General features: G+C 39.3%; 1 protein-coding gene across 10 annotated transcripts in view, besides 2 other annotated features; it reads left to right on the top strand.

Annotated features, from left to right (window-relative positions):
- The window catches only part of CBR4 (carbonyl reductase 4), a 115,770-nt gene that overhangs the window by 8,506 nt on the left and 80,442 nt on the right, over nucleotides 1-26,822 (top strand). For 4 of the 10 annotated variants that reach the window (XM_011532386.3, XM_011532385.2, NM_032783.5 and 1 more), the window contains one exon: nucleotides 11,422-14,160. The exons of the other annotated variants lie outside the window; for them this stretch is intronic. In XM_011532386.3, the coding sequence (XP_011530688.1) occupies nucleotides 11,422-11,600 (179 nt within the window). In that variant the 3' untranslated portion in view covers nucleotides 11,601-14,160. Of the gene's footprint in view, nucleotides 1-11,421; nucleotides 14,161-26,822 lie in introns of those variants that run through there. 10 annotated transcript variants of the gene reach the window in all.
- Nucleotides 5,827-6,632: an enhancer, noted in NCBI's record as "H3K27ac hESC enhancer chr4:169916269-169917074 (GRCh37/hg19 assembly coordinates)". NCBI's record gives its function as "activates a minimal SCP1, AML or CMV promoter by ChIP-STARR-seq in primed H9 embryonic stem cells {active_cell/tissue: H9 hESC(primed)}" and the evidence as "EXISTENCE:reporter gene assay evidence [ECO:0000049][PMID:30033119]".
- Nucleotides 6,633-7,439: an enhancer, noted in NCBI's record as "H3K27ac hESC enhancer chr4:169915462-169916268 (GRCh37/hg19 assembly coordinates)". NCBI's record gives its function as "activates a minimal SCP1, AML or CMV promoter by ChIP-STARR-seq in primed H9 embryonic stem cells {active_cell/tissue: H9 hESC(primed)}" and the evidence as "EXISTENCE:reporter gene assay evidence [ECO:0000049][PMID:30033119]".

Genomic DNA, 26,822 nt, shown 5'->3' with positions numbered 1-26,822 from the left:
CTTTTTTTCAGTCATGGCGGAAGGTAAAGAGGTAGCAGCCAAGTCATATGGGGATAGCAGGAGCAAGAGAGAGAGGAGGTGGCAGGCTCTAAACAACCAGCTCTGGCATGAACTAACAGTGAGAACTCATTATTTACCATGTGGAGGGCACCAAGCTATTCATGAGGAATCCGCCTCCATGACCCAAACACCTCCCGCTAGGCCCACCTCCAACATTGGGAATCACATTTCAACATGAGATTTGGAGGGGACAGACATCCAAACCATAAGAGTCTTTATTTTTAAATTTTGCACTAGTGGAATAACTTAAGGTGGAGAGGGTCTTAGAAATAATTTTTTCCAGTCATTTTTGTAGATTAGAAAACTGTACCTGGGATTCAGAGTGACTTGCCTAAGGTTACACAGCTAGTTTATGGAAGAACTGTTACTAAAAGCTTTGTCTTTTGATTTCCACCTAATGGGAGCTTAAAAATAATGTCCTACCAGGTATGGTAGCTCATGTGGGAGGCTGAGGCAGGAGTATTGTGAGGCCAGGAGTTCCAGATCAGCCTGAGCAACATAGCAAGATGCTGTCTGTACCGAAAAAAAAAAAAAAAAATTAGCTGGGTGTGGTGGTGCACACCTATAGTCCCAGCTATTTGGGAGGCTGAAGCAGGAGGATTGCTGGAGTCCAGGAGTTGGAGGTTGCAGTGAGCTATGATCATGCCATTGTACTCCAGCCTAGGTGACAGAGCGAGACCCTGTTGAGACCCTGTCTCTATAAAAATTAAAAAAAAAATTCTTTTTAGATTTTCTTTATATCATTACACAAACTTTAGATAGTTTTGTCCTTTTACTACTATGGTCTGTCTAAACTATCTGGAACCTCCCATTTTCCTAATTTTTACTTTTCCATTATTTGCCTTTCGCCAGGGTACTAGTTGATAAAATTGCCTGGATTAATGAAGAGGGTAATAAAAAGGTGCTAAAACTCAAAAATATATGATCACTAATTAGCTGGTGTGCTAGAAATTTTGATTAGGTATTTACTTGGTTTTTGAGTAACACAAGTGTTTTTATCTACCTCTGCCAGTTAGCCATGGAATCTTTGTCCTAGCCTACTGTAGGTACTTAAGAATTAATCACCTATATAAGAAAAGGCAGTTTATTTTGGTTTGCTGGTCCTTTGTAAGAAAGAGAGGGCTGAAGTAGACCTTTGCTACCTTTCCCTTTCCGGTCACTAATGGCTCCAGCTTGGACCTTACAGTTGGTGTTTTCTTTGGCACTGAAGTTGAGCCAGCAGGTATCAGGGATTTATCAAAATATCCTATTAACCCTTTTGGTCTATAGTGTGTCTTTATTTCAATTCTTTTCTTTTCTTTTTTTTTTTTCTCATAGCAACTAGCTACATTCAGACATTCTAAATCTATGAATATTTGATAAGTGACTGTGGTTCAGATACATCTATTTGCTGGGAGTAGGGAGAGAAAGAAAAAGAAAAAACAATCCAGAAGCAGCATTGTTGTTATCTTAGCACTGTTTTCTCTTTGTGTATGCTTTATGCAAGCTGATTGATTTTTAGCGTTAGCCTAGATGAACTATCTGTGGAATAAATTATTTGTGGTTTGGAACTACATGTATTTGCTTCCTTCTCTTTTCAGGATTGGAATACTGTGGGTAATGAAGGGTTAATTTTAGTTCATGATAATACAAAAGCTGAATGGTTTCGGGGAATGGAAGTGTACTTAGCTAACAATAACTCATGCAGCAAACTTTCTGGCATGTCTCCTACGTGTAGGGACTGAGCTAGCTCCCCAAATTACAGGAATGAATAAGATATTTCTGCACAAGGAGCTAAGTATAGTGAAAAAGACTGACATGTAAACAAATAATTGCAGTGTCATATGACGAATATAAAATAGAGGTACATATATGGTGCTATAGAAATGTTGAAGAAGGAAAGAATGCTTAATTTTGTCTAGTTTAGAGTAAATAGTTGTCAAGGCAGTAGACTAAATAGTGGGAATCCAGTTTGCATACTAAGGGGAAGTTTTAAGATTGTTATGGAAGTGTGGTTGTAGTCTTTCTTTCTTAAAGATTTTACTTTCCAGTGCAGTTTTTTTTTTTTTTTTTTGAAAGTGGTGGTTTTATTTATCACTCCCCTTTTTTGTTGAGCATACAACCCTTATAGAGCATAATATATATTTATATATTATGGATTTCCAGTGCAATTTATACTACAGATAAAAACCTGTAGCTGAAAATGTGGCCATTTAATAGAGTGGCCTTTATGTATATTTAGCAGATTTGATGGTATGAATATGCATCATTTGTCAGAAGCAAAGTGCAACTTGAAATAGTAGAATTAAATCAGTTCTGTGGATTACTTACCAACTTTATTTTAGATAGTAATTTCAACCAGATTCTTCAACAGATCTTGTAACACAGCTAACAAACATCACAGTTAACAAATATGTGTCCTTTTATGTCAGTTTTCCTGGTCACCTTCAAATGGAGTTTCCAATTAGCAGGAAAACAGTTTAAAAGCAAATTATAACAGGAAAAGCAAGGAACAAGGAAAATAATAAATTAGGCTGCGATTCATTGCCTAATACTGTTGACTTTTTAAAGATCAATAGCTGCTAATCTTTGGTATTACTTTAAATATAAAATAAACTGTTCATGGGAAATCATACTGATTGGAAGATATTGAATATTAGAAATAATATTTGATAAATGGAAACTGTAATGGCTGTATTACCTTAAAAAATATGTGTTTTGAATAGATAATACATATAGTACGAAATTCAAAAGTACAAAAAGGCATAAAGAGTCTTTTCTCCTCTGGACATTCAGTTACTTAAAAGTAGTTGCTGTTAACTACAAAGTTTCTTTTGTATTTCATATATAAGCCAATAAAGCATGCTGGGCATGAGTGTAAGAAAACACAAATTGTATCATGCAATTCACAGCTTTCTGTATCTTCCTTTATTCATAGAACAAGATACCTTGGTGATGTTTCTGTGTTATTCCATATAGAGCTGCTTCACTTTTTTAAATAACAGCTTTGTGGAAATACAATTCACATACCATACAATTCACCCATTTAAAGTTTACAATTCAGTCAATTCAGTGGTTTTAGTATAGTCCCAGAATTGTTCAATCTTCACCACAGTAAATTTTAGAACGTTTTCATCATCCTTAAAGAAATCCTAAACCCATTAACATTCATTCCCTATTTCTTTCCAATCTCCCCAGTACACTAAACTACTTTCTGTATCTACAGATTTGCATATTCTGGACATTTCATATAAATTGAATCATGTAATATTTGGTGTTTTGTGACTGTTATGTCACTTTTAATGACTGAATGAAAACAGAAAATGATGTTTGTTTTAAAGGTATACCTAATTTATTTAACCTGTTGCCTTTTGATGGACATTTAGTTTTGTTCTGAACTTTTTCTGTTACAACTAATGATGCAGTGACAATACTTGTATGGAGTTTATTTTGCACATTTGCAAGTATATGAGTGTAATCTTGGGACTGGAACTGCAAAGGCTTCAGAGGTATGTGCATTTTTAATTTTGACAAATAGTATTATGTTTATTTCTACAGGATACCTTAAGTGTTTCAGTACTTTATTTTTTAAGTTGAAGAGCTTTTATGTTTACTACTTGGAGAAAATCTTGTTGACAAAGATTTGCATGAGTTTGTTAGCTACTCAGAGAAGATATTCTAAGTGTTCTTATGTGCTGTTTGGAATGAAGTTGATTTCCCACTCTGCTTCCCTCTACAAATATAATATTAAGACATAGAAATTTGTTCTAGTTAAAATCTTGGTTTAGCTTTTTGGTAAGAGCCTTATTTCTTCTCCCTTAGAAAAGTGTTGGGTTGTTTTTGTTCTTTTTGAGTCCTAGAAACTTACATCAAAGAGTGGACATCTTATCTGGCAGATACATCAAATAGTGCCCCATCTCACAATTGTTAGTACTAGTGATAGGCTAAAATCCTGATGCCTTTTTAAATATAAAGGCTCTGCTGTATATAAAAATGTTGAAAACTAAAATAATGACCTAGGGATATGGAAATGAGGTGTTTCTATTTATAGTTTATAGCTAGTCAGAAATCGATAAAGGATATAATCTTTTTAAAAAAATTGTTTAAAAATTTTTTTGAGATGGGGTTTCATTCTGTTGCCTAGGTTGGAGTATAGTGGTGCAGTCTTGGCTCACTGCAGCCTAGACCTTCTGGGTTCAAGCGATCCTCCTGCCTCAGTAGTAGCTGGGATTACAGGCATAAGCCACCACACCTGGCCTATATCTTTAGAGTTTATCAAATATAAATCCTCATTGGGCAGGAGCCATGCATTTACCTTTTTGAGCAAGAGTGTCCCTGTTCCTAAAGAGTTCCTATAAAAATTGAACTGGGTTTTTAATCACATATATGGAACTAAACTAGAAGTATCTTTGCTCTAAATTGGTTTAATGCTTGTCATTTCAGTTATCTTTTCGTCGAGTTAAGAAGTGATAACTTTGTAGCCAATTGGAAACCTCTGACTGTCCAGGTGATGCAGTAGCATCATTTGTTGGACAGTGGCATCTACTGGTAGTCTGTAAATTTTATAGCCTAGTTTGAAAGGCATTGTTAATATATACCTAGCAAAAAGGGGAGTAGAGCACAATTTCCAGAATTTTATAAATGAAGTGAAAGAATGATATGGGGGAGAGTCCTTTGGGGCCAAGGAGAGAGAGCACAGACCGGAAAGTAATACAAGTAGTAAGAAGGGTGTGTGAGTTGTTTAAGGACTATTAATCTCTCTCTTCAGGTCTGTGATACATGATATGGAACCTAAGAGACCATTTATATGTCATGTCCTGGGTTGTGAATATATTTATAAATGAAGATCACGTGGTTCATAACCTTTAATATAAAATGACATGGAAGTTCCATACAGCCCAGAGTAATTTATCATTAGAGACTAGCTTTACATTTTTAATTTAATTTCTGATAAATTTTATTTAATTTCTGATAAAGTGGGGACAGATACATGAGTTTTAAAAAGCTACAGACAGATTATTAGGGCAGTAAAACTATTCTGTCTGCTACTGTAATGGTGGACACATGATATTATGCATTTGTCCAAACCTGTAGAACTGTACAGTCTAAAGAGTGAACCCTTAGCTTGTGAAGACAAAATGGTATTAATAAATGAATACATAAATATATAAAATAAAGAGTGAACCCTAATGTAAACTATGGACTTTACTTAATAATGTATCAATATTGGTTTATCAGTTGTAATAAATGTGCCACACTAAGGTAAGATGTTAGTAATGGGAAATGGAAAGGGGGGGGTGATGTGAAAAGGGGGTGCATGGGATCTATCTGAACGTTGTGTTCAATTTTTCTGTAAACCTAAAATTCCTCAAAAATGTAAAGTTTATAAATTTTTTAAAAAGCTACAGAAAATGAAGAGAGGCTCTTTGGACATGTTCATGTCCTCCATAGAAAATAACATAATCAAAGAGGAAAAACCAGCATTGGTGAATTCATCCCTTCCTTTCAACTTGGCCTCTCTCACCCACTTTACTTTTAGTGCAGAGTTCAGTGATGGCTAGCAGCTGTCCCCTGATATTTGTTATTCCAAGTATCCATTCATAGGTCTGGGGAGAGATTGTGGCAAGCTTTCCCTAAATAAATCACACCCTTATCTTCTAAGCTTGAGCAGTGGAGGGAGACTTTTCATTCGAGGTGGGTGGCTGAACATCATCATTCCTGTTCTGGACTTCTTGTAATCATGTTGGATTCAGAGGGCACCACTCTCTCTTGTACAGATCTGACCTAACATAGACATAGACTATAGCAGAGATGAATCCAGGCTATAACATTTAACAAGACCTTATTAAAAGCTTCAAGATGTTAGCCTTTATCTGTTCCATATCTAGCTTACTTGGTTGTTTTTGGGGGATCACATGTCTGTCCTCCAAACTGGAAACGTCTAACTCTCCAGGAGATGCAGTAGCATTATTTGTTGGACAGTGGCACCTACTGGTAGTTTGTAATGTTTATAGCCTAGTGTGAAAGGCATTGTAAATGTATACCTAGCAAAAAGGGGAGTAGAGCAAAATTTCCAGAGTTTTACAAATGAAATGAAAGGATGATATGGGGGAGAGTCCTTTGGGGCCAAGGAGAGAGAGCACAGACTAGAAAGTAATACAAGCAGAAAGAAGGATGTCAGCCCATGTCTGTGTGGTAGAGGTCATCTTTCCATCTCACTGGGATTGTCCCTGAAAGTGTCTCACTGCTTAGGTCTCCTTGCCTGTCTAAGGCTTGGAGACCTTCCAGTATCTCATGCCTTATTCTAGATCTGCTTTTTTCCCCGAGGTGAAAAAACCTGTTCAAATGGTCACTCACAACTTTTGTGGCCTTACTTTTTGTCTCCGAAAGGACAAACATATCAGAACTAACATCCACCCAGAAGAAGGGCTGATCAGTTCCTTTCAACACAGCATGGATGAAAACCCAGGTTAGCGTTAGTGCTTCTTGAATTGGAAGTATTCTAACCTCTATGTACCTACCAATGTAAGAACTGAGGGCCCTTTTAAGGGAACTTACATTCCTAAAGTTCAAGTCAAGTTGTCATGAAGAGTACTTAATGAGGCATACTTTTAATCTTTGAATCGTAGTGTTGTAGGGCTAAAAGAAACCTCAGGCCAGGCTGCATGGTGGCTCACGCCTGTAATCCCAGTACTTTGGGAGACCAAGGCAGGCTGATCACCTAAGGCCAGTAATTTGAGACCAGCCCAACCAACCTGGTGAAACCCTGTCTCCACTAAAAATACAAAATTAGCCTGGTGTGGTGATGCATGCGTGTAATCCTAACTACTCGGGAGGCTAAGGCAGAAGAATTGTTTGAACCCGGGAGGCGGAGGTTTCAGTGAGCTGAGATCATGCCATTGTACTCCAGCCTGGGTGACAGGAGCCAAACTCCGTCTCAAAAAAAAAAAAAAAAAAAAAAAAAATTAGCCAGGCGTGGTGGTAGGCGCCTGTTGTCCCAGCTGCTGGGGAGGCTGAGGCAGGATAATTGCTTGAACCTGGGAGGCAGAGGTTGCAGTGAGCCGTGATTGTGCCACTGCACTCCAGCTTGGGTGACAGAGCCAGACTGTCTCAAAAGAAAAAAAGCAAAAAAGAAAAAACAGAAAAGAAACCTCAGAGATCTGTCATTTTCCACCTATTACATTCATTTTATGATACAGAAATGGTCATTCAGTTGCAGATAGTACATGACTGTTGGGATCAGGCCCCCAAATCTGGCCATAAACTGGCCCCCAAACTGGCCATAAACAAAATCCCTGCAGCACCGTGACCTGTTTGTGATGGCCATGACACCCATGCTGAAGTTTGTGGGTTTACCGGAATGAGGGCAAGGAACACCTGGCCCACCCAGGGTGGAAAACCGCTTAAAGGCGTTCCTGAACCACAGACAATAGCATGAGCGATCTGTGCCTTAAGGGCTTGCTCCTGCTGCTGATAACTAGCCAGACCCATCCCTTTATTTCGGCCCATCCCTTTGTTTCCCGTAAGGAATACTTTTAGTTAATCTATCATCTATAGAAAGAATGCTTATCACTGGCTTGCTGTCAGTAAATATGTGGGTGAATGTCTGTTTGAGGCTCTCAGCTCTGAAGGCCGTGAGACCCCTGATTTCCCACTCCACACTATATTTCTGTGTGTGTCTTTAATTCCTCTAGTGCTGCTGTGTTAAGGTCTCCGTGACCGAGCTGGTCTTAGCACGTGACTTTTCTCGGGTGATAGCTTTAATAGTATCAGCAGAGCAGGGAACAGAATCTAGTTTAATGTGTCCTAATCCAGTGGTTTTTTTTAACCACAAAATACTGCCTTTGAGAAAAGGCCAGGCCAGCAGAGTCAGAAGTTGAGCCTGGGATTTGCATAGTCACAAGGTCTTTCTTGCAAACCATTTCTACTGTAGTTTATTGTGTTTTTCTGTTTTTGTTTTTTGGGTTAAAATGCATCGATTTTTATGCTGACAGTTTGTGAGAGTTACTGGGAAGTATTCTATGCTAATTTTGCTAGAGTTTGAAAAGAACTTAAAGGATAATTGTGTCTATCTTTGAGAAGATAACATGAACTTTTACATGTTTTTGACAATTTTTATTCATTCTGCTTTTATTACAAGTGTGAGATGAGGTTTTCTTCCTAGGATACTCTCTGAGGCACTTTTGAAAATACTTTTGTTGGCTGGGCACAGTGGCTCACGCCTGTAATCCTAGCACTTTGGGAGGCTGAGGTGGGTGGATCACCTGAGGTCAGGAGTTCAGGACCATCCTGGCCAACCTGGTGAAACCCCGTCTCTACTAGTAATACAAAAATTAGCTGGGCATGGTGGCGTGTGCCTGTAGTCCCAGCTACTGGGGAGCCTGAGGCAGGAGAGTCGCTTGAACCCAGGAGGCGGAGGTTGCGGTGAGCCTAGATCGCACCACTGCATTCCAGCCTGGTGACAGAGTGAGACTCTTGTCTCAAAAAAAAAAAAAAAAGGAAAATACATGTGTCTAAAGACAGAAAACTTTGGACAGCGAGAACCCCCATGATATTGTTCTTAAGCTGATTGGATTGCCTGTTGATTATTGTGGCTCTTCACTGTAAATTAAGTTTCATTTATAGTTTGTTGGAAATTCTGCAGAGGCTAGTATCAATATCTGTGTTAGCTGCTTCTCCTTTTATTCTTGCATTCCTTCTGGCCTTCTCATTCTTCTTAAAGATGAGAGGATATGAAGGAAATATTGCTGACTTTTAAAATAAATGTGGTAAGATGTTATGGCAGAGAAGACTGTATTTCACTGTGTAATTTCACAGTGAAACATACATAATACAAAATTAGTTTTGTTATTCCAGGCCTTCATTACAGACTATCTGAAGGTAGTACTGTGTGCATTTTTTCAACAACTTTTTATCTGAATACAAAAATAATATATATATCTGTTGTAGACAGTTTGGAAAGAGCAGAAAAATATAAAGAAAATAAAAATCATTACCTGTAATTCTAGTATCTAATGATAATCACTGTTAATATTTTGGTATATAGTACTTTTTTCAGTCATTAGTATAAGTTCTTTGTTGTGTTTTTAATAGTGGTATAACTTAATTCATTTGTAACCTACATTTTATACACAAATGTTACTTTCAGATTTAAGTATCCTTCTATAGCATAATTTTTATTTTTTATTTTTATCTTATTCATTTATTTGTATAAATACAAATGAATGCAGGTGCAGATGCAGTTTGGTTATATGCATAGATTTCATAGTGGGAAGTCAGGGCTTTTAGGGTATCTGTCACCTGAATAACACCCATTGTACCTATTAGGTAATTTCTTATTCACCTCTGTCCCACCCTCTCACCCTTCTGAATCTCCATTGTGATCACATCCATGTGTACACATTCTTTAGCTCCCAGTTACAAGTGAGAACATATAGCATTATTTTTAATACCTGCATTATTCTGTTGTATGGCTGTATCATAACTTATTTAACCAGTTTCTTATTGAAAGACATTCAGCTTGTTTCAGTTTTTTCCTAATGAAAGTGTCATTCATAAGCTTCATGATAGACAAATCTGTGAATATTTTTCACAAGACTTTTAAGAAAATGCGTAGATATTTATAACTGCAAACCTAAAGAAAGGAAAGTTAAGTAATTACATAGTATTGCATAATAAACCAATGGCCTAATGTTAATTCTTAATTCATTGTTTACTTCACATTTATTATGGTACTTTAAAAGGTAATATATTTAGGTTTATCTATAGTTTGAGCTATAAATGATTTAGTTTTAACAGGCAATTTGAAAACTGTATTTTTGAGATTGCACATTAAATGTTTACTTCACACGTCATGTTGAAGTTTTAGTCCATCTATTTTTCATGACCTTAAAAATTTTTTTCTATTCTTTTCATGAGGATTAATATTGCTTTCTTTTTAAAAACCCAAATGATTGAGTAATATACAGGATACTGATTATATGGGCTAAGCATTTTATTAATACGTATTTGTATGTCCTGTATTAATCTTGTAAGATTTTCTTCATAAGTCTACAGTTCTCCCTGGTATGTATTTGTAGTTATTTAGGATTGGTTGGTTATATATTATGTAGTTAGTTCTTTATACTGTAGAACCTAATACATTCTTTAGAACATTTTCTTGGCAGGCTTTACTGAATTTGAATTTTCTATGTTTACTTGTATCAGAATTGGATATGACCGTAAGATTTTAAAATCCAGATATGGGAAATACTGGCCTTTCTAATCATCAGCTACCAAATCAGTTCATGTGACCACTTTTGTGATGCCTTCCTTCCCTTGACACTACTTTCTACTTTTCTATCCCTACCTAAGTGAAAATTAATGTATTCTATGATATTTTATATATACTTCTATCAGGATATTCACCAGACTTCTTTACGTTATAATCGGGTGTGCAAGTGACCATTTCCTCCACAAATCATAGGTTCCCCAAAGAGTGGAATTTTGTTTTATTCATGTTTGTGTCTACCTACTTATATTTTGCTAGGTGGGCCAGATACTTGGGGGTCAGATATTTTAGTGTCCAATAAATATTCATTGAGTTAAATTGTATAAAAATGTAGGCTTGGTGTCTTGATTACTAACAAAACTATTTTGTTTTGTTTTGCTTTTTTTGAGATGGAGTTTCACTCTTGTCGCTGAGGCTGGAGTGCAGTGACACAATCTCGGCTCACTCCAACCTCCACCTCCCAGGTTCAAGCGATTCTCCTGCCTCAGCCTCCTGAGTAGCTGGGATTACAGGCGTCCACCACCACCCCCAGCTAATTTTTTGTATTTTTAGTAGAGACGGGGTTTCACCATGTTGGGCAGGCTGGTCTCGAACTCCTGCCCTCAGGTGATCTGCCCACCTCGGCCTCCCAAAGTGCTGGGATTACAGTCATGAGCCACTGCACCTGGCCAACAAAACTATTTTATATAAACAAGGTTTATTAATAATTTCAAATTATAGGGTGGGTATGGTGGCTCATGCCTGTAATCCCAGCACTTTGGGAGGCTGAGGTGGGCCGATCCCTTGAGTCCAGAAGTTTGAGATCAGCCTGGCCCAACTCTACAAAAAGTACAAAAACTAGCCAGGTGTGGTGGTGCATGCCTATAGTCCCAGCTACTTGGGAGGCTGAGGCAAGAGGATCACCTGTGCCCCAGAGGTCCAGGCTGCAGTGAGTCGTGTTTGCACCACTGCATTCTAGCTTGGGTGACAGAGTGAGACCCTGTCTCAAAAAAAAATTTTTTTTTAAATAATTTCAAATTAAAATTTTCAGAAACAAATTTATTATTTTTTTTGAAATTCAGCAGATGTCTTAGTGTGTACCCTTTTCAACTAAACAAACATTTCTCTTTTAGGATTTGTACACACAGATATGACGAAAGACTTGAAAGAAGAACATTTAAAGAAAAATATTCCTCTTGGGAGGTTTGGAGAAACTATTGAGGTGGCACATGCGGTTGTGTTTCTTTTAGAATCACCGTATATTACAGGGCATGTTCTGGTAGTGGATGGGGGATTACAACTCATTTTGTAATTTGCAGATTATTCAGTTATAGGGGTGATTAGCATCAAGGGCACACTTTGGCTACTGATTAGACAATTATACCTACATGGGTAACATGTGCTAATCAAACCTGCTGATGCTACAAATGTTAATTTCTGTCTTTATAAAAATATGTCTCAAAAGAACAATGTGTGACAAATTGTGGTTTTTTTTTTTTTGGTCTAAGTTACATCAGTGTTGTTTTGTTTAAAAAGCCTTCATGAGATACAATTCACATACCATATAATCACACATTTAAAATACACAATTCAGTGGTTTTAACATATTTAAATACATGTGCAATCATCCCCCCAGACAAATTGTGTTTTCTAAAGGATGTGTATCACTTACCTTTGGTTACCTCATAGACTGTAGCAATCTTAGTGTATAGACATTTTGCAAGTCATATAAACAAGTATTGATTTATATATTTTGTCTCAAAAGTGGAAAAATTATATTGTCTAATTATGATGAATTATTTTCTTGTATCAAGCTGAATTTTCTAAAAGTTAACCTTGTGGGCTGTTGCCAAAATAAGAGTATTTAGAGGACACTGATTAGTTGTCAATACTTTAGCAAGCCCACTAAAGATAACTATATTCCTTTTGCATGTGCTTGGGTGATCAGTTTTTATACAGGTTGCAAAACATAGTATTCATTAAAGACATGAATTTAGAATTGATTTCTTTGAGTGGTATTTCTCTTGATTGAGCAGCTAGACAAAATAATCTGCAAATTTAAATGTGGCGCATTTGACTCATTCTTGAGAAATTCTCATAAGTGAAGAGGATTAGCCCTTAAGGTTTTAATACCTGGTACAGTAGTGAACCGCACAGATTTCATGAACTTAGGATGTGTTTTTTATTCATGAAAAACTTAGAATAGTGAACTATTAATATTTAAAAACGAGAAATACAACATTTAAAAAATTAAGAGTATTTTGCATTAGTGATTATGATTCTTATCCCAAAATTCTAGAAAGTAATAAATTCTGTATGAATAAGCATAAAAAATAAATAAATATGCAATAACATTAAATTAAATGTCTTTACAAGAAGCAGTGAAGGCACTGGTCTTAAGTGAGAATATTTGCCTGGGAGTAGAGATAAAGACACAAACCGAATGTGAAATACCAGGTAATAATTATTTTGCATTAAACTCTTTTTATCGGGAATAGTATGATATTTTCAGTGTCACTCCATTCATGTTGATTTGGAGCTGACAGTTATTTTGTGTAAGCAGAGATTTAATTTTATATTGAAAGTCAGTGCAAAATTATGAATAGGATATACTAATAAATACAAAGTAATAACAAAAGTCAAAGCAGTGTTCTAAATAAAAATTCTGGGTTCCTTAAAAATTATTTTAAATTTATCTTTGAAATAGTTTTCTTAGATTAATCTCAGGATATGAGAAAGTCAATTAAGTGTGAGTAAAGTTAGTATCATTAAACAAATTGTCTATTAAATGCAAGACGTGGTAATATACAGAATTTATCAGGCATTACCAAGTCTAGGCACATATAGGAAATGCAGCACTCAGAATGGTTTCAATGTAGTAGTTGATGCTTGTAAGGTAGGGGAGCTTATTCAGACATAGTAGATAGTTTCTCTAATGCTGTCTCAATTGCTGGCCTTTGGCTACCTGTACTTCCCCATTATGGCAGCCCATTCAGTCTTGAGTTTTCTTCTCTGGACACCTTATGCTCTGAAATCATGAGCGAGGCTGATTCAATTGGTGATTTGGGTAGAAAGCAGTATGTTTTGCTGACATTAAGATGTAGGTTATAGATAGGTTTAGCCTTTAAGTGTATGTTTTTATACTTTAAAATAAGAAATATAACCTTTTAAGCTATTCCACCTCCTCCCCCAGCCTATCTCAAACTGGTGGAATATATGGAGAGATCTTGAAAGAGGTAAAATAAACCTTCACTGCTCCACTCCAGGTGAATCCGCCCACTCCCACTGACCTAGTAGAATTTGTAATTTAATACTTACCTTCTATTTCTGAAATCAGTTGTGAACTGTTGCCTTATGTTCAGAGGTTTAAGAACCTCAGTGAATTCATTTTTTAAAATCTGCTATTCTGAGAAGCATTGAATGAATTCTTAACAAGAAGACTCATCTGTAGCTGTTTGCTGACTCCTATGAGCCCATAAGGGTTCTGTGCTTAGCATTAACAAAATAAGGTTTATAGGTAAAGCCAATGTATTAATTTTTTTTTGCATGGAGGGCTTTAAAATTTGTGCTCTTTTTCATATTTTATTCATATTCAATTTATGGTTTGTAACTGCTTTTTAGGGAGATAATTATATGTTATAAATTAGTTTTGGGGGGAATAATTGTGCAAAGAGGATAATTTAATTTACGTGCTTCTGTTATTCAGAATAAAGAGAGAAGACTACGCTGCATATTCAAGAGTTGTACCTTAACATTGGTGAAACATTTTTTCTAAGATTTTCAAAAGGAATATGTGTAAATTGAGAAATCATAACCACTGTCCTAACTTGGTAAACAAACTGTTCTTAAATAAAGTATTTAATGATTTTAAACTTTCTGATGTTAATTTTATCTTTCTCTGCAACTATAAGAGTAGAGTTTAAAAATTTGTCTTTCAATTCAATTGTAAAACTTTTGAGGGAAGAGACCATACTGTGTTCATTCATTTAGCTAATTAAGTAACTCAACAGATACTGAGTGGGTACTAAATATTTTGTATTTGTTTTGATACCCACACCTTGCCTACTCATCTCTGAGTATATTGGATATATGCAGTAAAATATTCTTTAGTCATTACATTGTGCCATAGTTGGGGAGATCATTGAGATAAATCTGTTCTGACTCTCAGTTCATATCTTGGAATATTTCTTGATCAGATTCCTTTGGCTTTTTATGCGACTTTGATGCTTGCTTTCACTTTATAACTGAATTTGCAAAGTGAATCGACTATTTTCTCTTAGGCAGTATGCTTTCAGTTTGAGTAATTGTTAATACCAGCAATTTAATTAGAAAGCTTTGGCCTAATAATCCAAATGGAGATGGTATCAGTATTACCTGCAGAATATTTTTAAAAATAAATTTGAAACATACATCAGGAGACCCCCTCCCTGGAAATTTGAATAAGTGGTAGGCAGGGTGAGGGAAATGTGGAGATACATTTAAGACACTTATTTATTTATTTAATTAAATTAATTTATTTTGAGATAGGGTTTTGCTGTGTTGCCTCGGCTGGAGTGCAGTGGCATGATCACAGCTCACTGCCATCTCCAACTCCTGGGCTCCAATGATTTTCCTGCCTTAGCCTCCCAAGTGGCTGAGACAACAGGTATTAACCCTGCGTGACTAATTTTTTATATTTTTTTGTAGAGACAAGGTCTCACTGTGTCACCCAGGCTGGTCTTGAACTCCTGGCCTCAAGTGGTCCTCCTGCCTTGGCCTCTGAAAGTGCTGGATTACAGGCGTGAGCCACCATGCCCGGCCAGGAAAAATTCTTAAGTATTCAGATTGTTCATTCATTCACGAAATATTTATTTATTCATACTACATATGTAACACTGCTAGTAATAGGAGGTAGAATGGTGACAAAAAAACAACAAAAAACCGAACTCGAAGTTTCTGGAGCTCACAGAGTAATACAGTATGGTGGGGTCAAGCAGACTTAATCACACACATATAAAATTGCAACCAAAATATGCATTATAAAAATGAGAAGCTCTTATTGCTATTAAATAATTAGGGGAATTTGACCTATTCTAGAAGGTCAGGAATGGCTTCTCTGAGGCAAGGATTGTTGAACTAAAGTTAGAGTACAGTTGGCCCTCAGTATCTTTGGGGATTGGTTCCAGGATCCTCTGAGAATACCAAAATCTGTGGATGCTCAAGTCCCTTACATAAAATGGTGTAGTATTTGCATATAGCTTATGCATATCCTCCCATATACTTTACATCATCTCTAGATTACTTACAATATCTAATGCAATGAAAATAGCTGTTATATTGTTTTTTATTTGCATTATTTTTAATTGTTCTTATTTTTATTGTTCCCCCCCCGGATATTTTCTTTTTTTTCCTTTCCAACTTTATTTTAGATTTAGGGGGTACATATGTAGGTTTGTTATATGGGTAAATTACATGTCACAGGGGTTTGGTGTACAGATAATTTTGTCACCCAGGTCATCAGCATAATACCTGATAGGTAGTTTTTCAATCTTCTCCATCCTCCCACCCTCCACTTTCAAGTAGGCCCCAGTGTGTATTGTTCCCTTTTTTGTGTCCATGTATACTCAGGGTTTAGCTCCCACTTATTCTAAATGAATTAATGCAGGAACAGAAAACCAAATGCCACATTTTTGCATGTGGTATTAGGATACTTAGGATAATGGCCTCCAGCTCCATTCATGTTGCTGCAAAGGTCATGATCTCATAATCTAATTTTTTTTTGTAGCTGTGTTGTATTCCATGGTGCATATGTACCACATTTTCTTTATCCAGTCCACTATTGATGGGGATCTAGGTTGGTTCCATGTCTTTGCTGTTGTGAACAGTGCCGCAATGAGGGCATGAGTCTTCATGGTAGAATAATTTATATTCCTTTGGGAATATATGCAGTAATGGGATTGCTGAATCAAATGGTAGTTCCATTTTAAGTTCTTTGAGAAATCTCCAGACTGTTTTCCACAGTGGCTGAACTAATTTATATTCCACCAGCAGTGTATAAACGTTCTCTTTTCTCCACAACCACCAGCATCTGTTGTTTTTTAGCTTTTTTAATAATAGCCAATCTGAGTGGCGTGAGATGGTATCTCATGTTGGTTTTGATTTGCATTTCCTTAGTGTTTAGTGATAGTGAGCATTTTTTCGTATGCTTGTTGGCTGCACGTATGTCTTCTTTTGAGAAATGTCTGTTCACATCCTTGCCCATTTTTTAATGTTGTCATTTTTTGCTTGTTCATTTGAGTTCCTGATAGATTCTGGATGTTAGACCTTTGTTGGATGCATAGTTTGCAAATATATTCTCCCATTTTGTAGGTTGTCTGTTTACTCTGTTGATAGTTTCTTTTGCTATGCAGAAACTCTTTAATTATGTTCCACTTGTCAGTTTTTCTTGCATTTGCTTTTGGAATCTTCATCAAGTTTTTACCTGGGCCCATGTCCAGAATGGTATTTCTTAGGTTTTCTTCTAGGGTTTTTGTAGCTTTAGGTTTTACATTTAAGTCTTTAATGCGTCCTGAGTTGATTTTTGTGTATGGTGAAAGGCAGGGGTTCAGTTTCAATTTTCTGCATATGTCTAGCCAGTTATCCCAGCACCATTTATTGAATAGGAAGTCCTTTCCCCATTGCTTGTTTTTGTCGACTTTGTTGAAGATTTGATAGTTTTAGGTGTGCAGCTTTATTTCTGGATTCTCTAACCTATTCCATTGGTCTGTGTGTCTGTTTTTGTGCCAGTACAATGCTGTTTTAGTTACTGTAGCCTTTTAGTATATTTTGAAGTTGAGTAGTGTGATGCCTCCAGCTTTGTTCTTTTTGCTTAGGATTGCTGTTGCTATGACTCTTTGGCTCTTTTTTGGTTCCAAATGAATTTTAGAATGGTTTTTTGTAATTATGTTAAAAATGTCATTGGTAGTGTGATAGGAATAGCATTGAATCTGTAAATTGCTTTGGGCATTGTGGCCATTTTAACAATATTGATTCTTCCTATCCATGAGCATAGAATATTTTTTTTTCATTTGTTTGTGTTGCTTCTGATTTTTTCAGCAGTGTGTTATAATTCTCATTGTAGAATTGCTTTACCTCTCTGGTTAGCTGTATTGCTAAGTATTTTATTTGTGTGGCTATTGTGAATGGAATTGCCTTCTTTATTTGGCTTTCAGCTTGGATATTATTTGTATAGATAAATACTACTGATTTTTGTACATTGATTTTGTATCCTGAAACTTTCCAGAAGATGTTTATCAGATCTAGGAGCCTTTGGGCATAGACGATAGGGTTTTCTAGTATAGCATTACATCATCTGTAAAGAGAGATCATTTTACTTCCCCTCTTCCTATTTGAATGCACTTTATTTCTTTCTCTTGCCTGATTGCTCTGGCTAGGACTTATAATATTATGTTGAATAGGAGTGGTGAGAGTGGGCATCCTTGTCTTGTTGCAGTTCTCAAAGGGAATGCTTCCAGCTTTTACCTGTTCAGTATGATATTGGTTATGGGTTTGTTTAGATGGCTTTTATTATTTTGAGGTATGTACCTTTAATGCTTAGTTTGTTGAGGGTTTTTAAGATGAAGAGATGTTGAATTTTACCTAAAGCCTTTTCTCTGTCTCTTGTGAAGATTATGTAGTTTTTGTTTTTAGTTCTGTTCATGTGATAATCACATTTATTGATTTGCCTATGTTGAATTAACCTTGCATCCCAGGAATAAAGCATACTTGATCATGGTGGATTAGCTTTTTCATGTGCTGCTGGATTTGTTTTGCCGGTATTTTGTTGAGGATTTTTGCATCTATGTTCATCAGAGATACTGGCCTAAAGTTTTCTTTTTTTTCATTATGTCTGTGCCAGGTTTTGGTGTCAGAATGATGTTTGCCTCACAGAATGAGTTAGGAAGGAGTCCCTCCTTGACTTTTTGGAATAGTTTCAGTAGAATTGGTACCAGTTCTTTTTACATCTCGTAGAATTCAGCTGTGAATCTTTCTTGTCCAGGGCTTTTTCTAGCTGGTAGGATTTTTATTACTGATTTACTCACTGTTTGTTATTTGTCTGTTCGGGGTGTCAATTTCATCCTGGTTCAATCTTGGGAGATAATATGTTTAAGAATTTATCCATTTCTTCTAGGTTTTCTAGTTTATGTGCATAGAGGTGTTTGTAATGGTCTCTGAGGATTAAAAAAAATTTCTATGGGGTTGGTGGTAATGTCCCCTTTGTCATTTCTGATTGTGTTTCTTTGGATCTTGTCCCTTTTTAAAAAAATTAGTATAGCTAGCAGTCTATCAATCTTATTTATTCTTTTAAAGAACCAACTTTTGGTTTTGTTAATCTTTTGTATGGTTTTTCTCATCTATTTCATTCAGTTCAGCTCTGATTTTGGTTCTGTTCTTCCGCTAGCTTTGGAGTTGGTTTGTTCTTGTTTTTCAGGTTCCCTAGGTGTGATGTTAGGTTGTTAATTTGAGATCTTTCTAACTTTTTGATGTATGTGGGCATTTAGTGCTGTGAACTTTGCTTTTGACACTACTTTAGCTGTGTCCCAGAGATTTTCATATGTTGCATCTTTGTTTTAATTAGTTTCAGATAATTTCTTGATTTCTGCCTGAATTTCATTGTTTACCCAAAAGTCATTCAGGAGTAGATTGTTTAATGTCCATTTAATTGTATGTTTTGAGAGATCTTGTCAGTATTGATTTCTGTTTTTACTGTGCTGTGGTATGAGAGTGAGGTTGGTATGATTTTGGTTTTTTGAATTTGTTGAGAATTGCTTTATGGCCCAGTGTGTAGTCAGTTTTAGAGTATGTTCCTTGTGCAGATGAGAAGAACGTATATTCTGTTGTTTTTGAGTGGAGTGTTCTGTAGATGTTTGTTAGGTTCATTTGGTCAAGTACCAAGTTTAGATCCTGAATATCTTTGTTAGTATTCTGCCTCAGTGATCTGCCCAGTACTTTCAGTGGGATGTTGAAGTCTCCTACTATTAGTTTATGGTTATCTACATCTCTTTGTAAGTCTCTATGAACTTGTTTTATGAATCTGGGTGCTCCAATGTTGACTGCATATATATATATTTAGGATAGTTAAGTCTTGTTGAATTGAACCTTTTTATCATTATGTGATGCCCTTCTTTGTCCTTTTTGATCATTGTTGGTTTAAAGTTGGTTTTGTCTGGAATAAGAATAGCAACCCCTGCTCCTTTTTGTTTTCCATTTGCTTGATAGATTTCTTCCATCCCTTAACTTTGAGCATGTGAGTGTCCTTCTATGTGAGATGGTCTCTTGAAGACAGCATACAGTTGGGTCTTGCTTCTTTATCCCGTTTTCCATGCTGTGCTTTTTAAGAGGTGCATTTAACCTGTTTACATTCAAGATTAATATTGTTATGTGTGGAATTTATCCTGTCATCATGTTATTAGCTGATTGTTATGTAGACTTGATTGTATTATTATATTTGCTTTATAGTGTTAATAGAGTGTGTACTTGAGTGTGTTTTTGTGGTGATCAGTAATGGTCTTTCATTTTCATATTTAGTACTGTCTTATGGACCTCTTGTAAGGCAGACCTGGTGGTAACAAATGCCCTTAGCATTTGCTTGTCTGAAAAGGATTTAATTTTTCCTTCACTTATGAAGCTTAGTTTGGCTGCATATGAAATTCTTGGTTGGAATTTCTTTTCTTTAAGGATGCTGAATATAAGCCCCAAATCTCTTCTGGCTTGTAGTGTTTCTGCTGAAAGTTCTGTTGTTAGCCTGATGGAGTTTCCTTTGTATATGACCTACCCTTCTCTTTCAGGGATGCTAATGAGTCATAGATTTGGCATCTTTACATAATTCCATATTTCTTGGAGGTTTTGTTCATTTAAAAAAATTCTCTTTATTATCTGACTGAGTTAATTTGAAGAACTGTTCTTTGAGCTCTGAGATTCATTCCCCAGCTTGATCTGTTCTGCTATTAATACTTCTGATTGTTATGAAATTCTTATAGGCAGGTTTTCAGGTCTATCAGCTCAGTTTGGTTCTTTCTTTTCTTTATTTTTATTTTATTTTTTTGAGACTGAGTCTCATTCACTCTGTTGCCTAGGAGTGCAGTGATGCGATCTCGGCTCACTGCTACCTCTGCCTCCTGGGTTCAAGCAATTTTCCTGCCTCAACCTCCCGAGTAGCTGGGATTACAGGCATGCACCACCAAGCCTGGTAATTTTTGCATTTTTAGTAGAGACTGGGTTTCACCATGTTGGCCAGGCTGGTCTTGAACTCCTGACCTCAAGCAATCCATCCACCTCGGCCTCCCAAAGTGCTGGGATTACAGGTGCGAGCCACCACGCCTGGCCTGGTTCTTTCTTAAAATGGCTATTTTCATATTTTTATCTTTTGAATTGTTCTACTGGATTCCTTAGATTCCTTGGAATGGGTTTCAGTTGTCTCCTGAATCTCGATAATCTTAATTGCCATCTAGATTCTGAATTCTGTGTCTGTCATTTCAGCCATTTCCTTCTGGTTAAGAATCAGTGTTGGGGAGCTAGTGTGGTCATTTGTAAATAAGGAGACTCTTTGGCTTTTAGAGTTGCCAGAGTTATTGCACTGGCTGTTTCTCATCTGTGTGGGCGCTAATGTTCCTTTAATCATGGTGTAACTTGACTGTAGTCACTTGCCTTCATTTCTGGATGTTTTCAGAGAGCCAACTCTGTTGAATTCTTTTTTCTTTCTTTTTTTGAGATAGAGTCTTGCTCTGTTGCTTAGGCTGGAGTGTGGTGGCATGATCTCAGTTTACCACAACCTCCATCTTCCAGGTTCAAGTGATTCTTCTGCCTCAGCCTCCCGAGTAGCTGGGATTACAGGCATGTGCCACCACACCTGGCTAATTTTTGCATTTTTAGTAGAGACAGGGTTTCACCATGGTGGCCAGGCTGGTCTTGAACTCCTGACCTTGAGTGATCTGCCTGCCTCTGTCTCCCAAAGTGCTGGGATTACAGGCGTGAGCCACCACACCTGGTCTATTTGTGGCTGAATTCTTGTCTGTGTTTTCATAGGCGGTATATTAGCAAAGTATTTTTGGTGTTGAAGTTTGGGCTGTGATGTGTTTAAGCATACTGGCCAGTAGGTAGGCTCTTGCTCAGCCCTGTGGCTCCTTTGTATTTCCTTCCATTTGCAGTCATGTACCTTCTCAGTGCTCCAAGTGAGCCTCCTCTCAAGTGGGAGAGGAGGGTGTGGGCTCCTCTCCCACTTGAGTGCTGCAGACCTCAGCTTGGTACTCCCAGGCTTGGCACTGCAGCCCTGGGGCAAGCCAGACTTTTTGTTCTCTTTCCGTCTTGGGGGTAGCAGAGAGGGGGACCTTGGCAGTGTCAGTGGTAGAGGGCTTTTCATGTGTCTCTTTTGGTTGCACCCCAGGGATATACATAGCCATTGTCCATCAGAATAATCATCCCAGTGTGTTGTGGGCCCAAGCTGGGGGGGCCCTGCCTGGTGAAGAGCAGGGGAATTGGGGGCTCACAGGGAAGACAGACTAGCCTCTTCATAGGGCAGCTGCTGCATGCTGGAGGTGAGAGTAAGGCACTCAGGGTCTTTCTTTCTTCCCCAGTCTGAGGGTAGTTAGCAAGGGCAGTACCATTGCAGTGGCAGTGGCAGAGGAGCTGTCAGTTGCCTGTGGGAGCTCCGCCCCTGGGAAATGCAGAGCCACTGCGAATGGGAATATTCAGCTGGGGGTGGGGCAGCTGCTCTGGGGGCCAAAGCCAGAGGCCCTACATGGTGAAGAGTAGGCGGTGGGGGCTCATAGGGAAGAGAGACTGGTTCCTCTCCCTGTGGTGGCTGCGACATGCTGGAGGTACCAGTGAAGCAACCAGGCTCTTTGTTCGTTCTGCAGCCCAAGGGCAGCTAGGGCCGTACCGCTGAAGCCCCGCAATGGCAGAGGGTTGTCTCTGGGATTTCCCCACCAGGCAAACACAGAGCTGCCACTGACTGATCAGGCGGGGGCTGGGTGGCTGTGCTGGGGGCCCAGTCCAGGAGGCCCTGTGTAGTAAGGAGTAGCACATGGACAGGGACCTGTGTGGAAAACAGTCTGGTTGCTTTTCTATAAAGGAGCTGTGCTGTGCTGGGGGCCTGTGATAGTCCTTAAGCTCTTCTTTCCATTCCAAGCCAGAGGGCAGTAGGGTCAGGGGCTGCAGTAGTGGCAAAAAATGGCGGGCCTGCCTGCTGCCACTGGGAACTCCATCCTAGGGAAGTGCAGAGCTACTACCAGCTGAGAGCTCAGTGGGGGTGGGGTGACTGTGCTTGGGGTGTGGGAGCAGGGAGGGGGGCTTGTTGGGGGCAAGTCTGAAGGCCCTGCCCAAGGAGGAGTAACAGGAGGAGGGACCTGCGTGGAAAATAGTGTGGCCTCTTTTTCTGCAAGGCATGCTATGCTGTGCTGGAGGCTCAAGATAGTCCCTAACCTCTTTGCTCCCTCCTGATTCTGATAGCAGTTGGGGTGGGGGCTGTGCAGCAGCAAAAATGGCAGGCCTGTCTTTTACTCCTGGGAGCTCTGTTCCAGGGAATTGCAGAGCTGCTACCAGCCTGAGAGCTCAGGCAGGGGTGGGGTGGCTGCATTGGGATCCCAGGCCAGTGGGCTTTGCCTAGGGAGGTGTAGTTGGGGCAAGGCCTGTAGTTCGTCTGCTTCTCAGTACTGTGGATGCAGCCTCTCTCCTGGGGGTATGCGTGAGAACCTGGCCTCCTTTGTTGGCAAAGCTACAGCTGCTGGTGCAGGAGTGCTCACGGTTCCAAGACCCTTGGCCCTCCATTTGTGCCTGAGTGGCACACTCCACACGCTTTCTGTGTCAGCCTGGAGGCCACAGGGGAAGGGGGTCAGGGGAGGTCTCCAGAGCCTGAAATTGCAAAGGTTCATGGCAGAAACATGGTTTCCTGGGGCTCTTATTCACCATTTTCCTGCAGGGGGGAGCCTCACTTGGCACTGTGCCAATCCCAGGTGGGCAGCTGTCCTGTCTTTTTTCTGTTTTATGTTGACTACATTGCTTCCTTTATGAATCCCAACATGTCCTCTTGGACTGTTTAGTTAAAGAGCTAGTGTTTACTGGCCACTCTGTCTCCCTTCTGTGAGAGCAGCACACACTAGCTGCTTCTAGTCAGCCATCTTGCCACTCCCCTCCCCCAAATATTTTTGATCTGCAGTTAGTTGACTCCAAGGAAGTGATCACACAGACACAGAGGGCTGACTGTAAAGCCTTTCATTCAGAAGGAACAGCATGGGTAAAGATCTTTTGGTGACAAAGAACATTGTGAGTCAGGAATTGAACAGCCATGGAATGCAGAGGAGGAGAACATGGGTATGAGATGAGGCTGTAGGTCTAGATGATGCAGATCTTTGGAGGCCATGTTAAGGGTTTTGAACTTTATCCTAAGAAGTATTGAAAGATTTCAAGTAGGAGGATACATGATGTATTAGGAAAGATGATTCTGGCTATAGTATGGAGAAAAGGTTGAAAGGGGCTCAAACAGTGCAGCAATACCCATGTTTGTAGTACCCATTACCTCATGTGAGAGGTAATGGAAAATTGAGTCTAGGATAGTGAGAATAGAAATGGAGACAAGTGGTCAAATGAGATTTAGGAAATCAACAATACTTTGTGATGAACTGAATCTAGGAAATGTGTTTCTGATGTATAAATCTGGATGAGTGGTGGCGCCATTCGCAAAAAACACTGCATAAGAGCAGGTTTGTTGGTATTCGGCAGGGAGATCATGAGTTTAATTTTAAACATGCTGATTTCAGGTGCTTTGGAGATAGGATAGGAGACATCAAGTATGTATGGGTCAGAAACTCAGAGGGGAAATCCGGGCAAGAAATATATCATCTGTGTAGAAACAGTTACTAAAGTTTTGAGCAATAAGGAATGGAAGGGATTGCTTAGGTAGAGAGTTTAGAGTGAGCGTTTAGATGATAATTGCAAATACTCAGTATTTACTATTGTCAGGCACTGTTCTATGTGTGGGCATAGGATGGAACCTTGAGGAACACCAGCAGCATTTACTGACGGGTTAGAGATAGATGAGCCTGCAAAGGAGTCTAAGAAGGACTAGTTGGAGCAGTAAGTAGAAAATCAGGAGAAAGCTGAGTGCTAGAAGCTGATGAAATAAACTTTTCTTGAAGGAAGGAGTTCTTGATATCAATACTGCTAGGCATATAAGATGGATTGCTAACAAGAAAATCATTGGTAACTTCAATAAGAATTGTTTTTGTGGGGGAGATGCTGGAAAAGATGGCAGATAGGAGACAGGACTAATGTGCAGCTCCCGCTTAGATGGACAGAACAGGGTCTGGAGACTCACACTGTGAACTTTTACTCCAAGAACCACCACAGGAACATATCAGGAAAACTGAAAGAATTCACAGACCCTTTGTAAGAAGTGGCTTGTCACTGCAAATGCTGTGAGACAGCAAAAAACTGTGAGTTCCCAAAGTGTGAGGGGGGAAAAGTTGGCTTCCGAACACACATACCCACTGGGGAAATGTGTCAGGCCTCTGAGCCCAAGCTAAGCCATCATATCCCCTGTGACCTGCATGTATACATCTAGATGGCCTGAAGCAAGTGAAGATCCACAAAAGAAGTGAAAATAGCCAGTTCCTGCCTTAACTGATGACATTCCACCATTGTGATTTGTTCCTGCCCCACCCTAACTGATAAATTGACTTTGTGACAATACACCCTCCCCGCCCTTGCGATAATATACTTTGCGATATTCCCCCACCCTTGTGAATGTACTTCGTATGATACACCCTCCACACCTTTGAGAAGATGCTTTGTAATATCTTCCCCCGCCCTTAAAAAGGTACTTTGTAATATCCTTCCCTGCCCTTAAGAAGGTAATTTGTAATATTCTTCCCACCCTTGAGAATGTACTACAAGATCCACCCCCTGCCTACAAAAAATTGCTCCTAACTCCACCTCCTATCCCAAATCTATAAGAACTAATGATAATCCCACCACCCTTTGCTGACTCCTTTTTCAGACTCAGCCCACCTGCACGCAGGTGAAATAAACAGCCTTGTTGCTCACACAAAGCCTGTTTGGTGGACTCTTCACATGGACGTGCATGACAAAATGGATTTAGGGAGCCAAGTGAAATATAAAAGTAGAAGAAGCAGCAGGAGGAGCCCCGTAGGTACTCCCAGTCCTTAGCTCGAGCCCATGGAAGCTATTCCTGGCGTTACCTCACAGAGGTCCTTGGGGAAGGGAAGGCAGCCAGCAGAATTGGGAAGGGGCTACAGAGTGAAGGAACCTCCTAGCTGAATTTTGTGATAATTTTGACTAAGCGTGAACTTCCCTGAGTAGCATCTGGGGTGAGGGGCAAATGGGAAGTGCATATATGAGCGCAGAAGATGCAGCTGAACATGTTGGCAGGTGGGGAGGCAAGGCCTGAGAGCCCTGCTTGCTTTCTCAGCAGGAAGGCTTGTAGCTTGTGGCAAGATCTCAGCCCAGCTTGCTGGCTGACTGGATATAACTCCAGTGCGGTTAGGGAGGCATGGTGGGAGTGAGACTGGTCTTGCTGACTGTGGGGGAGTTGGGTGAGGTCTGTCACTGTCAGCTTTCCCCCACTTCCCTGGCAACCTGTATGATGCAGCAGAGGCAGCCATAATCCCCCTGGGAACATAACTTAATTGGCCTGGGAGCCACCCTTTCCCCACTACATAGTGGCCACAGCAAGTCCCGCCCAGGGAGAATCTGAGCTCAGACCTGCCTAACCCTGCCCCCACCTGATGGTTTTTCTCTCCCCATCTTGGTAGCCAAAATCAAAAGATGTAATTTCTAGGGAGCTCTGTGGCCCTGCCCATTACCCAAGAAACCTGAGTACTCATCCTGGCCAAAGTAGGGCAAAATTATATCTCCCTTCTACTACTGCAGCTGGCAAGCTCTTGAAAGCATCACTTCCTCGCTAGAGGCCAATGAACTCAAGCCACTACAGCAACTCAGAACAACTCTGCCCCAGAGAAGGAGAATACAACAGGTAATTCTACCACCTGCACACCCTAGCTAACTAGAGGTCCTGAGTCTATCCTTGTGACAACTTCACTGCTAACATAACCAGCATTCAAGAAAACCAGTGCACTAAATTACAACCAAGGACTCCCACAGAGTCCACTTTACTCCCCTGCCACCTCCAATGGAGCAGGTGCTGGTATCCATGGCTGGGAGACCTGAAGGTGGATCACATCACAGTACTCTTTGCAGACATTCCCCATTGCCAGCCTGGAGTCTGGTAGCCCTGAAGGGTGGCTAGACCCAGAAGGGCAGTAACAATCACTGCAGTCTGGCTCTCAGGAAGCCCCATTCCTAGAGGAAGGGGGAGAGAACCACATCAAGGGATCACCCCATGGGACAGAACCTGAACAGCAGCCATTGAGTCCCAGATCTTTCCACTGAAACAATCTACCCAAATGAGAAGAAATCAGAAAAGTAACTCTGGTAATATGACAAAACAAGATTCTTTAATAGCATCCCCAGGAGATCACACTAGCTCTCCAGCAATGGATCC

Source organism: Homo sapiens, chromosome 4, assembly GCF_000001405.40.
Source record: "Homo sapiens chromosome 4, GRCh38.p14 Primary Assembly".
Taxonomy (NCBI): domain Eukaryota; kingdom Metazoa; phylum Chordata; class Mammalia; order Primates; family Hominidae; genus Homo; species Homo sapiens.
This window is presented reverse-complemented; position numbering and strand designations above follow the sequence as displayed.